This window comes from Homo sapiens, chromosome 8 (assembly GCF_000001405.40).
Source record: "Homo sapiens chromosome 8, GRCh38.p14 Primary Assembly".
Taxonomy (NCBI): domain Eukaryota; kingdom Metazoa; phylum Chordata; class Mammalia; order Primates; family Hominidae; genus Homo; species Homo sapiens.
In genome coordinates, this window is record NC_000008.11 from 143,881,708 (window position 1) to 143,897,418 (window position 15,711).

The 15,711-nt window shown below is 59.3% G+C and overlaps 4 annotated features.

Annotated features, from left to right (window-relative positions):
* Positions 3,130–3,653: an enhancer, noted in NCBI's record as "H3K27ac-H3K4me1 hESC enhancer chr8:144959005-144959528 (GRCh37/hg19 assembly coordinates)". NCBI's record gives its function as "activates a minimal SCP1, AML or CMV promoter by ChIP-STARR-seq in naive H9 embryonic stem cells {active_cell/tissue: H9 hESC(naive)}" and the evidence as "EXISTENCE:reporter gene assay evidence [ECO:0000049][PMID:30033119]".
* Positions 3,654–4,177: an enhancer, noted in NCBI's record as "H3K27ac-H3K4me1 hESC enhancer chr8:144959529-144960052 (GRCh37/hg19 assembly coordinates)". NCBI's record gives its function as "activates a minimal SCP1, AML or CMV promoter by ChIP-STARR-seq in naive H9 embryonic stem cells {active_cell/tissue: H9 hESC(naive)}" and the evidence as "EXISTENCE:reporter gene assay evidence [ECO:0000049][PMID:30033119]".
* Positions 8,782–9,673: an enhancer, noted in NCBI's record as "H3K27ac-H3K4me1 hESC enhancer chr8:144964657-144965548 (GRCh37/hg19 assembly coordinates)". NCBI's record gives its function as "activates a minimal SCP1, AML or CMV promoter by ChIP-STARR-seq in naive H9 embryonic stem cells {active_cell/tissue: H9 hESC(naive)}" and the evidence as "EXISTENCE:reporter gene assay evidence [ECO:0000049][PMID:30033119]".
* Positions 9,674–10,565: an enhancer, noted in NCBI's record as "H3K27ac-H3K4me1 hESC enhancer chr8:144965549-144966440 (GRCh37/hg19 assembly coordinates)". NCBI's record gives its function as "activates a minimal SCP1, AML or CMV promoter by ChIP-STARR-seq in naive H9 embryonic stem cells {active_cell/tissue: H9 hESC(naive)}" and the evidence as "EXISTENCE:reporter gene assay evidence [ECO:0000049][PMID:30033119]".

Below are 15,711 nucleotides of genomic sequence, written 5' to 3' on the forward strand. Positions count from 1 at the left end.
TTAGGGCAGCTCCGGGAAACTCAAACAGTCCCCAAGCCAGGGAAATAAGCCAGGGAGAGCAAGGGCAGAGGGGGCCGCAGGGTCCAGGTGTGAGGCAAACCCAGCTTCTCCCATTTTATAGAAGACAGAGGAGGAGGAGGGGGAGGAGGAAGGGGAGAAGGAGGGGAGGAGAAGGGGGAGGAGGAGGGGAGGAAGGCTCAGCCAGGACGGAACCCACTCTGGGCCTCGAGGTTGCATTAAACACAGGAAAGGAGGCCCCAACCTGTATCTCAGAGTGAAATTTTTTCCTATCTTGCTCCAAATGTATATTCTTTCCAGTTGCCACATAAATGGAAGTCATACGTAGCAATACCATGCTCTTAACTGGGAATTCTACTTGATTGAAAAGGTAGAAGGCACACCCAGGTACCCAGGCCCTCTCTGCCCCACCCCAACACAGTTTAGAGGCTGGGTAGTGCTGTTCTGAGAGGTGCTGTCCTTGGGCTGGCTAGACCCACCTGTGGGGGCAGCCAGGACCACCTGTACCTCCAGCTCTGACCCCATGGGAGAGCAGCACAGCCATGCATGGGGGATTGCAGTTGTTAGAAGGATGGGAGCTGAGCCATGAAATCGGCACCAGAAATCGCTGCTCAACCCCGCCTGTCCCTGCCTTCCTTCTCCCCTGCCATACCCTCTTCTCCCTAAAGGGTGGGTGTCCTCTGGCTAGGCCCCTCCCAGCAGCTCCAGCCCAGAGCGTCCAAGTTGTCCAGCCTGCCCGTGGTCATCTCTCCTCCCGAGGGACTCTGGGGTGACTTCCTCCCTCCCTCAATCCTCCAAGGCACCTGCAAGGCTGGGGCCCAGCGGCCCTCTGGCCAAAGCCTCTCCCGCAGCCCCACCAGGCTTGCTGGCCTGGCCCCCAGGTGGCCTTCAGCCCCGTGTCCTGCTGCTGAGGCCCTGACCAGGGTTCCCCCAGGGATTCCTCCTCTGCCTAAAACACAGCTGGGGAGAGACAGTGCCACCTGAGTGCCAGTCTTGGGCCTGGCACCCTCCCCACCTGGCCCCAGTCCCCTCCAGAGCCTGACACGGGCAATCTCTAGGTGCCTGGTAGGAAGTGCTGTCTCGGGGCCACCACTGGGTGTGCCGCTGCCTGGCCGGGGGCTTATGCCTCCCATGCCATACTGGCCACCCGGGCCCTCAGCTGGGGGGGAGCCAGCATCGTCCTGGGCGGCCTGGCCTGGGGACTGAAAGCCCTCGGCACTCCCAGCCACCCTTGCTGCTCAGGGCTGTGAGCTGCAGCCGCCCCAAAGGGTACAGGCAGGTGGAAACCCTTCCTCTGGGGTGGGCCAGGTGGGCGCAAACACCTGCTCCTGGTTCTTGAGTCCTTGACGTTCAGAGGCTGCTCCTGCCAGTGTGATCTGGGCCTCCAGGCCTGCTGGGGATGAGGGCTCAGCAGACCCCATCCTTGGGGCACAAAGCAGCTCCCGCTGGGCACAGGCAGCACCATCCTTGGTCAGCCTCATGCAGTCCCGGAGCCGCTGCAGCGGCTGCTCCACCAGCTGAGCTTCATCCCCTGCCACGCCACAGGGAAGGGGCCAGGGGCCAGGGGCCAGGGGCCAGGGGCGGGGACACGGGCATTGGGAGGGGGCCTTGGACTGGGGGCCTGGGACGTGTCCCCCTGGGGCAACATCACAGACATCAGCACCAGGATGGCGCCCCAAGGCATGGCGGATGAGGGGCTGGGGAGGGGCTTTTCTGGAAGCACTCGGGACTCCTTGGGGGTCCAGCCAGCCGGGCTGAGGGACAAGGCTGAGGGCCCCTTACCCATGAGCAGCTCCACCAGCCTCCGGCCTGTCTACAAGACCTTCACGTCCTGGATCCGCGCGGCAGCCTCGTCACACACATGCTGCAGACACAGGCTGGGGGCACATGTGTGCTGGGGACATGGAGCCCTGCGCAGCCTGCCGCCTCTCCCTGGGCCCAGTTCCTACCTGCAGGCACTGTACGGCCCCTCCTGGCCCTCGGGCTCCAGCCGCCCTGCCACAGCGCAGCCAGGAGAGTGTCCTGGCCACTTCGAAGCTGTGGGCTGCCAGGAAAAGTTGCTCCAGGACCCCCGAACTCCGGACCAAGACCGGGCAGCCGGCATTGCCCTCCCCACATGGTGCCCTCCCCACATGGTGCCCTCCCCGCACAGGTGCCCTCCCCACACGGTGCCCTCCCCACTCACGCCCCCCACAGCCTCACCTGGGGACCAAGACCGGGCACCGCAGGGCCCTCCCCGCACGGGTGCCCTCCCTGCTCATGCCGCCCACAGCCTCACCTGGGGACCAAGACCGGGCAGCCGGCAGTGCCCTCCCCACTCACGCCCCCCACAGCCTCACCTGGGGACCAAGACCGGGCAGCCGCAGGGCCCTCCCCACTCACGCCCCCCACAGCCTCACCTGGGGACCAAGACCGGGCAGCCGCAGGGCCCTCCCCACACGGTGCCCTCCCCGCTCATGCCCCCCACAGCCTCACCTGGGGACCAAGACCGGGCAGCCGCAGGGCCCTCCCCACTCACGCCCCCCACAGCCTCACCTGGGGACCAAGACTGGGCAGCCGCAGGGCCCTCCCCGCACGGGTGCCCTCCCCGCTCATGCCCCCACAGCCTCACCTGGCCTCTGCCTGCTGCACCAGGCAACCCCGCTGTGCACACGGCTCCGAGGGGCTCCCGGCTTCCTGCAGCCTCTGCTCCACCAGAGGCACCCTTGCCCCCAGCAGGTACAGGAGCAGCTGCTGGGACATGGGGGCGGGCTGAGCGCAGGGGGCTGGTGGCCTCTGTCCTGCCCTCCCACCAGTGCCCTTCACAGGGGTCAGCAGCCACGGGGACAAGAGCCACATCTTCCACCAGAGTCTGCCATCTGTCTGCCCCCCAGGGAGGGTCGGCTGTGACCTGACACCCAGCGGCATCATTGGGAATCAGTGGCTTGAGCTGAGATTCAGAGGCGATTCAGAGGTGTCCCAAAGGTGTCACTACTCAGCCCTGCCCCCCGCTCCCTGCACCTCCTGTTCCTGCAGCTGCCACAGCATGAGGGACCAGAGGCCATGAAAGGCCTGAGCTCCTCCATACCATCCAGCCAGCTGCGAAGGGCATCCAGGGACCCTGGGGATGCCTGCAGGAGGAATGACAGCTCCAGGGGCTGCCCTCCCCCCTACCCTGGCTGCTCCTGCCTCACCAGAGCCATCTGCCCCCCTCACTCACCAGGCTTCAGTTCCACAGCCTGTCACCGCCATCTCCATCACCAGTGTCTGTCACCTCAATGGCACGGGGGCTCCACCAGGCCCAGGAGCTCCCAGAACACCGCTGGCGGCAGGGACCCCCCAGACTTGGGGCCTAGCCCCCGTGTGGCTCCTCCTCAGCCCCCCGCAGCCCGACCATGAGGCCGGGTTTCCCCGTGGTGAGCACTGTGGGGCGAGGAGACCTGAAACAGATCTGGAAGAGGCCACCCAGCCCGCCCAGCCCCCTCGGCCCTGTGCTCAAGGCTGGGGCTAAGGCCACATCCTCAGACTTACTGTCTGTGGCCACTGCTGCAGCAGGCCTGGGGGACGGAGGGAGCCCAGAGCCCAGGGGTCAGCTCCACCTTTACTGACGTCCCTGCCCCCAGCCTTCCCTCCCAGCCACAGCTTGGCCCGTCCCATCCAGCTGTCAGTGTGGCCAGTGCAGCCAGTCGAGCCACAGCCTCAGTGTTTTCCTCTTGACCCTGCCTCCTGCCGCCACTTGTTTCCAGGGAAACCAGGACCCGGCCCCAGCCATGTAAGTAGGAGAGACTGGGAAGGGGCTTCTCACCCTCCCCCTAGTTTCTTGCACCTCGGGGGAGGTGAATAGGCCAGGGTTGGAGGAACTCACTGCTCCCAAGGCCCGTCTGGCCCACTGGACTGAGCCCCCACGCTGGGCAGGCAGCCAGAGGGAGGGATTGCTGGCGGTGGATGCCAGGCCTGCCCTGGGAGGATCTGGGGGCGGGCAACATGGGGGTGCTGATCACACTCCTGTGGGCCAGGGACTGAGGAGCTACAGGTGGGCTCTCCCGCCTCCTCCTCTGCAGCCATGCAGACCTCAAGGATCCCTGTCTCCTCACCTACACCCTCGATAGCCTCTCCATTCCCCAGCTGCCCCACCCCTGGGGACCCGACAGCCCCCACCCAAGACTTCCCACCACCCCAGACTGGCCGGTCTCGCTGCCAGGAACCTCCACCCTGTGGCCACGCCTTTCCCACCCAGGCCTGGAATGAACCTGCCCCTCCCCAGCCTGGAGCCCCCCTCTCCCAGGCCTGACAATGGGGAGAGGTGACTCCCCAGCGCAGGAGTGGGCGCCCCTGGTCCCTGCAGGTGCAGGGTGGTCAGCTGTGTCCGCAGGTGCCAGTGCAGACCCTCCCCCCACCCGCTGAGTCCTTCATCCAACACTGGCCTCTACCGAGGAGTGGATGCTGTGTTGGGCACACAGGCCAAAGCCCACCTGTGCCCACCACTGTGCTGGGCCCCAGGCCCAGCAGGAGCCACCGCTGCTTGGGTAAGAGAGGGGACAGAGAGCAGGGGCCCAGCCTCCGGGCAGTCTGGACAGACACTGGGAGTCCCTGTGGGGCCCAGGCCCACCCCTGCCCGGGCATGTCTTTCTCACAGAGTTTGTGCTGCTGTTGCCTGGGGAACTTTCCATCAGAAGATGCTGGGTGGGGTGGGTAGGCAGGCCGGGCGGGCCCGCAGACGCGCTGTGGGTGGATGGGTGGTGGACGCCTCTCCCGGGAGGGGCTGCTCTGGCCCACACCCTCGGACGGCCCACCCTGCCCACTCGTACCCCCACCTCCAGGCCCAGAGGTGCCAAGCATGTGAGCCCCACAGGATCCACGGTGGGCATCCCAGCACAGCCGCCAGGGAGGCCGGCACGTCTGCACCAGGGCCTGTACCAGGCAGGCCTCATGACCCCTCCTCTTCTCTCCTGGGGAGGAGGGGCAGGCGCCCTGGCTCCTGACGCCCTGGGTCGCCTCCCCGCCCAGGCAGGGCATGTGGGGTCTCTGTCAGAGCCTCCACAGGGCCGGCCACAGGGCTGAGGCCCAGGGTAGCCTCCAGCCACTCCTGCGCGGCACCTGGGGCAGGGTCTGGGCTGCACCTGGCTCCTCCTGGAAAGGAACAGCAATGCTCGCCAGGCAGGACCCCAAAGCACAGCGGCCACCCCGCCTCCCCCAGGGGCTCTGACGGCCACTTTTCGAGTTGCGGGCACACCCAGCTCCTGGCAGCTCAGCTGACCACAGGGTCCCTTTCCACAGCGAGGCTTCGCCATCATAGCAGGGGCCCCGCCCTCCACGCCTGCGCCTGCACACAGAAGTAGGTGCCTTGCTGGGGCCCGAGGCCCCGTAGCTTGGGGCTCGTCCTGGGTGCTGCCACGGGACCTTCACACAAGCCTGGACGCTGCCATGGGTGGTCACGCAGGCCGCCTCTCTGCCATGACCTCCCTTCTCCCTGTCCTCTCCTTGCCCATTCAAGCTGACATCCTCTCCCAAGACCTCCCCTGGCTTCGTGCCCCTGACCCAGGCTGGGGACAGAGGTCTGGCCCCACCTGCACCCGAGGCTTTCTGCCTTCAGGGTATCACAGCCCCAGCACCGGGGCAGGGAAGCAGGCCCAGGAGGACCCTGTGTGCATGGCCTGAGGGCAGGCACAGATGAACCCGAGCAGGGAGGGGGAACACAGGCAGGGCCAGCACTGAAGACGCAGCCCAGCCCAGTCCTAGCCCCGGCCGGCGCCCGAGGGACCTCCCAGTGGACACGCTGTGCGTGTCTGACAGCAGCCGTGGACCGCAGGCACACGGGTGTGCTCATGGGGCCTGGAGCAGTGCCAGGGTCTGGGGGGCCTGCGGAGGCAGGAGGCTTAGGGGCCGGAGTGTGCCAGGGCACAGGGCCTGGGGCTGGGACTCCTGCTTCCCCTCTGGCCCAGGACAAGGAGCCGATGGGCACAGCAGGCACTCACTGAGGCACTTCTCCTCTCGGGGGGCTCCAAGCCCCTGGGAGGAAGGGGCTGGCAAGGGGAGGAGGGGTCCCAGGGAGAGCCAACTCCAGCAGAGACCTCGGCTGGCAGGAGTGGGGGTATAGGTTAAGATAAGAAGTGGCTTTTCTTTGCAAGATCTAAAGATTCACTAGGAAAAAAATATGGCAAGAATAATCGTTTCCACACTGACCACCAGCTCAGGTGTCTCTGTGATAGAAAAGCCCAGAGAGTTGGGGTCTTGGGCCCGAGGGGCCTGCACCCCATCCCAGTCGGGCAGAGCTCCTGGGCCCCTCGCAGGGCTGGAGAAGTGGTCACACGGCCGGTCCAAGGCCCTGCGGCCCCTTGGAGCAAGGGGTGGAGCCCAGACTCCAGCCGGTCCCCAGAAACCCAACTCAAACTGTCTTTAAAAACAGAAAATAAAAAAGGCAGCTCAGCTGGTAGCACTGACAGGGTGGGGGCGGGGTGCTGGAGCAGGGGGTTGCGTAGCGTCAGGCTGCGGCCTCCAGCCCGGGGAGCCCTGAGGGCCAGGACATCCAGGGCCAGGCCAGCACGAAGCCGACAGGACAGAGGAAGCCCATGAGCCTCTCTCCCGAAATTCTAGAAAAAGCACGTTAGTTCTCATCGGATGGCCTGTTGTTCTGAGCTGAACTGTGTCCCCCAAAAAGACATGCCGAAGTCCTAATCCTAGTACCTGTGGACGCAACATTACTTGGAAATAGAGCACTTGCCAACGTCATCAAGTGAAGATGAGGTCACTAGGGTGGGTCCCAATCCTAATGGACTGGTGTCCTTACAAGAAAGCGCTGCCCTGTGAGGACGCGCCAGGGCACGCGCGGTGACGGAGGCAGAGGCTAAAGAGCTGTCGCCGCAGGCCCAGGACGGCCACAGGTTGGTAGCAAACAGCCAGAAGCTGAAGGAGCAGGGAGAGGTCGGCTCAGAGTTTCAGAGGAGCAGGCCCTGCCGACACCCTCTTCACAGGCTCTGGCCTCCAGAATTTCCAGATAACACGTCTCTGTTGTTTGAGCCCCCACTTTGTGGTGCTTGCTTGCGGCAGCCCCGGGAGACCGGTCCACCTGAGCCATCTTGGGGGCCTGGAACGGGGGGCAGGGTCAGCCCGGCTGAGCTGTGGCCTGAGGGTGGGGAGGGAGTGGTTCCCCAGAAATGTCACTGCCAGGATCTGGGGCAGCGTGTGCTGAAAGATGTATCGGGGCAGGGCCTGGGAGGGGGTGAGCGCATCTCAGCAGACGCCGGGGAGGGAGAGGCGGAGGGCAGGGACTGGATTCATTCCAGCCCTCTGCATGCCGCAGCAGCCACCGCCTGAGACAAACCCCCGAGGAGAGGGAACCCGCTGGCTGAGCCCAAGAGTCTGAGGCATGGTTGCTCAAATAAAAATGGACCTCAGCTGTGAAAACAGCACAGTTCACTTTTCGCCCACCTGTGTTTGTGGTCCGAGGTGGTGCCAGTTGTGTGACTATGGTTATGGACTCTAGGAGGCCTCGTGTGGCTTCAGAGGGCTGAGGGCGACGCTGGAGGACACGCTGAGTTCCTGATGGTTCCGTCGGGCTGAGCTGCGTCCGGATAAATGTGACAGGAAGCAGCTCGGACACACTGATGGCTGGAGGCCCTGCAGCTCCTGCTGCTTGGCATGCGCCGCGGGCCTGCGTGTCAGAGCCGCCTCTCTAGCTCGGCTCTTGCGGTCATGCTGGCCTTGGTCTCCACATGGCTTTGGGTTGGCTGTTCTTCGTGCCATTTTCTTTCTGGCTCCGTCTCCATCTCTGGAGTGGGAGGTGTCTGAACAGGCATGCGGAGCATCACCAGGTCCCAGTGCCACGACCCCCGGCACGGTGGGTCGCCATGATGCTGTGTGGCCTGCCAGGTGATAGGCGCCCTTGGGCCACATGGTGACAGAGGGTGCGAGGGTGCCACTACCCCGTGATGAGCTGTAAACACACATTGTTATCCATCCCAGGAAAACACAAACTGCTTCTGTTCCTCTTTCTTGGCAGGTAAGGGAAGGGATGCCCTCCCGGGCTCTGGGAGATGTGCGTGTGCGGGATGCCACGTGACACAGCTGAACCTGAGGGGCCACTTTTGGCAAAGGCAGTGCGACAGGCCCGTGTCACGGGACCCGTGGTCGCCGTGGTGATCCGCGTGGCAGCGCCGGGACTGCGGCCCTCAGGTGGTGGAGCCACCCCGCAGAGTCGCGCTCAGGGACAGCCGGGTGACCACGGGCTGTGGAGCTGGGCACTGCGCTCCAGGGCAGGGCTTATGCCCTGAACCCGTAAGCAGTGCATCCTCAGCCTCTCCTCCCCAGTAAGTAGAACGCATGGGCCTGGGGTGAAGAGGTGGAAATGGGAGGGGCCACACTCGCCATCCCTGCCGGTGCCCTCTTGCAGATCCTGCATCCCCTCCTGCAACCAGATACCGCCAAGGGCCGAGAGCCCAGTCTGAGCAGAGGACACTGAGGCCACCGCCACGCCAGGGCAGCTACTCCATTTTCAAGTGAACCTGAGCACAGCTCCTGGGTTGCATGAGGGGTGGGCTTGGTGGTGCCAAGCAAGAAAGGACAGGCATAGCGCCGGGGCTGACTGCGTGGGTGTGGGCTCAGGACCTGGAGGCCGTAGCTCGAGCACTCAGTCCAGCAGCCAGGAGCGGCTCCAGCAAGGGCCAGGCTGTGACCAGGGCTGGCTCAGACACCGCCGTGATCCCAGGAGGAATGAGCTGATGGTGGGCTCCAGGGGTTACCGCCAGAGAGTAAGTATCCAGGCCTGGAACCTCCTGTGGGAAGGGGGTTGGCAGCTTCCAGGAAGGCCCTGCCTCCTGCAGCCCCGGTGGGCCCCCTCGCACCTGTATCTACTCCAGCAGGTACATTCCCGGGCCTCTCCAACACCCTGCACACCTGTCCAGTGCTCCCACGTCTCCGGCCGCCTGCCTAAGCACGGCTGCTGGCCCGATGTCCTTCCTCAGTACCGGATGCCTGCTTTCAAATGCTGTGTGGGGCTCATGAGCCATGGGCCCCGAACCAACTGGGAAAGACCCAGCCTCCCCGATCTGCGGCGGGGTCTGTGCCTGATCCTGGCTGACTCGGGCCCGTCCTTGGCTCTCAGTCCACTGCAGTTGGTTTGGGGCCCACAGCTCATGAGCCCAGCACAGTCCCATGCCCCGCTGCCTCCGAAAGCTCCCTCGTCTCTGGCAGTGGGGGCCACGTCGGGGCTGTGATCTCCGCTGCAGCCAGAGAGCTGTGGTGGGCAGCGTCCCCAGCGTCCCCTGTGTTCAGGTGGGCTGCGACACCGGGCCCCTCCTGACGTCCTGGCACCCGCCTTTCACTCCCTCCTTCCTTGTCACCCCCAGAAGCACTCCTCCTCGCAGCCCCTGACGCAGGCTCTGCCGACCCCCAGCTGTGCAGCCAGCTGGGCCCCCAGGACCGCCAGTTCCACCTCCCGGAACTACCTTCCTTCCTCCACCGCACACTGGCCAGGGAGGGGCCGTCAGATGTTAGCAAACTCTTCCTGCCCAAGAGGCCACACCTGCCAGCCCACTCTCAAAATCAGCCCTGGAGAAACTCCCCAAGCAAGAAGGGGTGTGGACTCCAGAAACCGCCCAGTGAGGCCCCGGTAGGGGGAGCTGTGGGCGGTGGGCTCTGCGCTTGCTGCTCCCCGGCCTGGTCTGCAGACCATCATCCACCCCTTCACCGCAGGCCACTGCCGCGGTCGATGGTGGCTTTGAGGAAAACCCTGGCTGGGTGACCAGTTGTGACAAGAGCTGGAGGCTAACATCGCCGGGCCCCTCCTCCAGCCACTGTCCTCTAAGCCCTGGGGCTGCAGGAAAGCAACCTGGGAAGCCCACCTCCCTCAAATGCATATGGGGGGATCCATGGCGCCCTGGCCCCCAGGACAGACCCTGTAGCCTGCCAGACAGCGGGGCAGCCGTGAACGTGCAGTGGGGGCGTGGGCCGCATCAGGCACAGACACGGCTGAGCGGCAGGTGCTGTGGAGGCAGCCAATCAATGAGCCAGTGGACTTTCACATGAACAAGGGGCGTGACCAGGCCGGAAGCAAGGGTGAGAGTTTGTTTAGGAAAAGTACCAGACCTGCTAGTGCAGGGATGCAGGCGGGGTGCCCAGCATCCCGGGGGCCAGGCCAGGGCCTTGCTGCTGGTGGCTGTGAAGGAAAAGGAGACCAAAAATATACAAGAAAATCCAGTGCTTTGGAGAATGGAGGTGAGAGGAGGCCGGGAACCGCGGACTCGGGTTCCCCGGAGTTGGGGTGAAGGGGAAGATCTCACACAGAAAGGGTCAGGGGTCAGGGAGGCCACGGGGGAGACCCTGAAAACCCCACCCCGTGACCCAGAAGCCTCAGAGGCAAGAGGAAAATGGAAGGAACGTTGGGATAGAGAGAAACCTCCTAAAAGGGGCGTCACAAGGGCCTCCGATTTCTCAGCAGCAGCCCTGGCTAGGTGAGGACAGCTGCGTCTTGCTCTGAAGGAAAGAATAGCGGGCCTTAGACCTCCTTCCCCACCTTACAACTCCGTCCCCACCTTCGCCCTCTGTCCCCGACCTTAGACCTCCATCCCCGACCTTACGCCTCCGTCCCGATCTTAGACCTCCGTCCCCAGCCTCAAAGCTTCATCTCCGAACTTAGGTCTTTGTCACTGGCCATCCAGATTTCTCTTAAACAGGAGGCCATCGTGAGAACAACCATCTCAGGCCCCCAGGCCCCCCATGGCGTGAACATGTGGAGGGGTCAGGAAGGAGAAAATGAGAAAAGAATCTGACGGGGTGCGTGGCAGTCACGGCCGTAGGGCTGAGGGGAGAGGAGAAAGTGCAGCTCCACGCACGGTGCTCCGGGCCAGGTGCCGGCGAGGGGGGCCGGGGGAGCACGTGGCATGGATGCCGCTGAGAAGAGCAGGACGAGCTTGTCTGAGCCCCAAGGCAGCCGAGGTCAGAGCGGACGTGCAGGCCCCACTCACCAGGCCAGCAAAGGAAACGCAATGCGTCCCGGGCAAACCAATAAGCGAAAGCATAGTGTGTAGAGGCTGCAGAATAAGACGAGGAAATCTCTCCAAATACAGCAGGAGCTGCCGGACCCAGCCACGCTCACCCAGGAGGATACCCTCGGACCCCCTGAGAAAGAGCAAATGAGACCCGGCAACTGGCGGGCTCCGAGGGACAATCTTAGAATAAAAAGACACGTGGGCCCAGGGCAGGAGGCACCAACCTCTGACCAACTAGAATCACAGGCGTGTGGCCGGGCGTGGTGGTTCACGCCTGTAATCCCAGCACTTTGGGAGGCTGAGGCAGGGGAATCACCTGAGGTCGGGAGTTCAAGACCAGCCTGACCAACGTGGAGAAATCCCGTCTCTACTAAAAATACAAAATTAGCTGGGCATGGTGGTGCACACCTGTAATCCCAGCTACTCAGCAGGCTGAGGCAGGGGAATCGGCTTGAACCCGGGAGGCAGAGGTTGCGGTGAGCTGAGATCACGCCATTGCACTCCAGCTTAGGCAAGAAGAGTGAAACTCTGTCTCAAAAAAAAGAATCACAGATGCATGCCCAGGAGGGGAGGATGCCTGTCTACCACAGGGACAGCAGGCCCCAGCTTGCAGAATGGACCTCACAGACACCAGGAGCCAGAGAGACACAAACACAGAGGCTCTCATGGCTGACCCATGTTTTGTTTGTTTGTTTGTTTGTTTTTTGTTTTTTTTTGGCCCTGTGGGACACTTCTGCTCCTTCATCAGGCCACAGAGAAGTTTTGGAACAACCCAAATGGTCAATATCACACAGACAGTCCTCTGACCAAAATGCGTTAATTTAAATAATCTCTAACAAAAAGAATCCGACGAGGTGACAACTGCATCAGCATATCACTTCTTTCTTATTTTATTTTTATGTATTTATTTATTTATTTTTGAGACAGAGTCTTGCTCTATCGCCCAGGCTGGAGTGCAGTGGCGCGATCTCGGCTCACTGCAAGCTCCGCCTCCCAGGTTCACGCCATTCTCCTGCCTCAGCCTCCCGAGTAGCTGGGACTACAGGCACCTGCCACCTCACCCGGCTAGTTTTTTGTATTTTTAGTAGAGATGGGGTTTCACCATGTTAGCCAGGATGGTCTCGATCTCCTGACCTCGTGATCCGCCCACCTCGGCCTCCCAAAGTGCTGGGATTACAGGCGTGAGCCACTGCGCCTGGTCTAACTTCTTTCTTATTTTTTTGAGACGGAGTCTTGCTCTGTCACCCAGGCTGTCACAATCTCGGCTCACTGCAACCTCCACCTCCCAGGTTCAAACAATTCTCCTGCCTCAGCCTCCCGAGTAGCTGAGATTACAGGCATGCGCCACCATGCCTGGGCTCATTTTTGTATTTTTAGTAGAGATGGAGTTTCACCATCTTGGCCAGGATGGTCTCGAACTCCTGACCTCGTGATCTGCCCACCTCAGCCTCCCAAAGTGCTGGGATTTCAGGCGTGAGCCACCGTGTCTGGCCCTTTCTTTTTTGTTTTTTAAGAGACAGGATCTCACTTTGTCTCCCAGGCTGGCGTGCAGTGGCAGTCGCAGCTCACTGCAGCCTCGACCTCCTGGGTTCAAGTGATTCTCCCGCCTTAGCCACTCGAGTAGCTGAGACTACAGGTACACACTGCCACACGTGGCTAATTTTTGTATTTTTCTGTAGAGTCAGGGTCTTGCCATGTTGCCCAGGCTGGTCTCAAACTCCTGGGCTCAAGTGATCCTCCCACCCTTTGAAACTCTGAAGCCAAACAGTGGCTTCTCTCCAGCTACGAAAGTCTTAGATGGCCTCTTCTTCCAGTGGAAAGTTGTTTTGTCTACATTGAAAATGTGTTGTTTAGGATAGCCACCTTCATCAGTGTTCTTAGCTTTGCTGAACCAGGGACCCCATAACCCTACCCTAGGATTCAAGGTGGAAGATACCATCCCAGGATGTGGGATGGAGGAGACAGTCCAGGTCTCTGAGGGAAAAGCAGAGAGAAAGGCAGGCAGGCACCATGTTTCCAGGCCACTGCCCCAGATCTCCGGAGTGCCTAGAGACGGCACTCTCTCCTGCCCTTCAGCTTGTGGTATCAAAAGTTCAGAGAGACGCTTGGAATTCCTAGGAATCCTGAGTCAGAAGCCCAAGATGGAGAGGGGACCCTGCTGGTCCTGAGTCCTTCTCTGCGGCCCAGATCCCTATCCCAGCTCCTAGAACCCATGCTCAGGGTTGCAGAGGGCAGGGCTGGCATGGGGGCAATCCCAGGGCAGTGAGCACTGGGACTCCCAGTGGGGTGTCGGCTCAGTGACTGGCAGAGCTGGCTTCGTGTTTCATAGACCCACATACGGTTTGTGAACTTTAGGGGGTCTTAAAAATGTAAAGGCCCTTATCATTGGATGTTAAAGCCCAATAATGACGTGATTATTATCTTGTAAAAGCTCCCTTGTCTTTGATAGACATACACAGATGATGGGCCGTGGGAGATGGACGGGGGTCCGGAGACGAAAGGCGGGCCATGAGCTCCTCACTGTTGAAGCTGGTGAGGTGCGCTTGGGAGCTCTTTATCCTATTCTGTTTACTTTAGCATGTTTGAATTTTCCACTATAAACACTTTAAAGAAATAACAGAAGGAATTGTCTTCTTGCTCATCTGATCCTGCGGCTCCGCGTGCCAGTGCTCACGCCCGCAGATCTTTGCTAGAGACTAAAGGTTTGATAGCTGTTTGCTTTGTACACTCAGGCCTCTTTTCCTTAACTTAATCATAAGCACCTCAGTCCCTTCAGGGACCTTTAGTTTCTTTTCCTAGAGCCATTTTGTTACTTAAAAGGATTTACAGGGTGCCTACCCAATTCATCAGGGATTTTAACCTCTGATGGGTGTGCCGGCCTACTCTTGACTTAATCCCTTCATTTAAGGCTGAGATCTATTACGCTCTGTCACTCAAAGCATTTCTGCCTAGGGTTGAGAAGTAGTTGTCTCTTCTAGCTTTGTAAGTCCTCGATAATATGACTGGCTCCCTTCCCTTTCATTCCTGCTTACAACGCAGCCTGTTCTTGTCTAAACATTTCTCTCTCTCTCAACATATACTTCACGTACCATAAAAGTCACCCCTTTAAAGTGTACAATTCGCAGTAGTTTTTAGTACAATTAGGTTATGCAACCATTACCACTATGTAATCCCAAAACAAACCCCACACCTTTTAATAGGAACTCTCCACCCCCTGGAAAGCTAATCTGCTTTCTGTCCTGGGGGATTTGCCTTTTCTGGGTATTTCATATTAAGGGAATCCTACAATATACCGTCTTTTGTGTCTAGCTTCTTTCATCTAGCATCTTGTGTTCAACGGTCATCCAAGCCATAGTATGTGTCAGAATTTCTTTCCTGTTCATGGCTGAGTAATATTCTATTGTAGGGAAATCCACATTCTCTTTATCCACTCACAGTTGATGGGCATTTGGGTTTTCACTTTTTAGCTATGATGAACAGTGCTCCCATGAACGTTGATGTTTAAGTTTCTGTACGGACATATGTTTTCCGTTCTTTTAGGTATATACCTAGGAATGGAGCTGCTGGGTCACACGGTAATTTGTGTTTAACTTTTTGAGGAACTATCATTGTTTTCCAAAGTGGCTGCACCATTTTACATCCCCTCCAGCAATGTATGAGGATTTCAATTTCTCCACCTCTTCACCAACACTTGTTATTGTCCATTTTAAAAAATCAATCATGAGGCTGGGTGCAGTGGCTCACGCCTGTAATCCCAGCACTTTTGGAGGCCGAGGAGGGTGGATCACTTGAGGTCAGGAGTTTGAGACCAGCCTGCCCAACATGGTGAAACCCCATCTCTACTGAGAATACAAAAAAAAAAAAAAATACCTGTACATCGTGGTGCATGCCTGTAGTCCCAGGTACTCGGGAAGCTGAGATGGTAGGATCACCTGAGCCCAGGGAGGTGGTGGCTGCAGTGGGCCGTGATCGCACCACTGTACTCTAGTCTGGGCAACAGAGTGAGACCCTCCCTCAAAAAAAAATTAAAAATAAAATTAAATTGGGCTTTTGTCTTCTTATTGTTCAGTTGTGATGTTCTTTATGGATTCTAGATATAAGTTTCTTATCAGAAAGATAATTTCCAAATATTTTCTCCCATGATGTGGTTGTTTTTCTTTCTTTTTTTCTTTTCTTTTCTTTTTTTTCTTTCTTTTTCTTTCTTCTTGTTTTTTTTTTTCCAGACAGGGTCTTGTTCTGTTGCCCAGGCTGGAGTACAGTGGCACGATCTTGGCTCACTGCAAACTCCACCTCCTGGATTCAAGCGATTCTCCTGCCTCAGCCGCCCAAATAGCTAGGAGCACAGGTGTGCACCACCACGCCTGGCTAATTTTTGTATTTTTAGTAGAGATGGGGTTTTGCCATGTTGCCCAGGCTGGTCACAAACTTCTGAGCTCAAACAATCTGCCAGCCTTCCCCTCCCAAAGTGCTGGGATTACAGGCGTGAGCCACTGCTCCCGACCCTCTTTTTGTTTTTGAAATGATGTCCTTTGAAACACAAAAGTTTTAAATTTTAATGAAGTCTAATTTATCTGGGTTTTTTCCTATGGTTGCTTGTGCTTTTGGTGTCATATCTAATAAGACTGCATAATTCAAAAGAACAAAAGTTTAGGGCCAGACTTGGTGGCTCACACCTATAATCCCAGCACTTTTGGAGGCTGAGGTGGGCAAATCACTGGGTCAGGAGTTC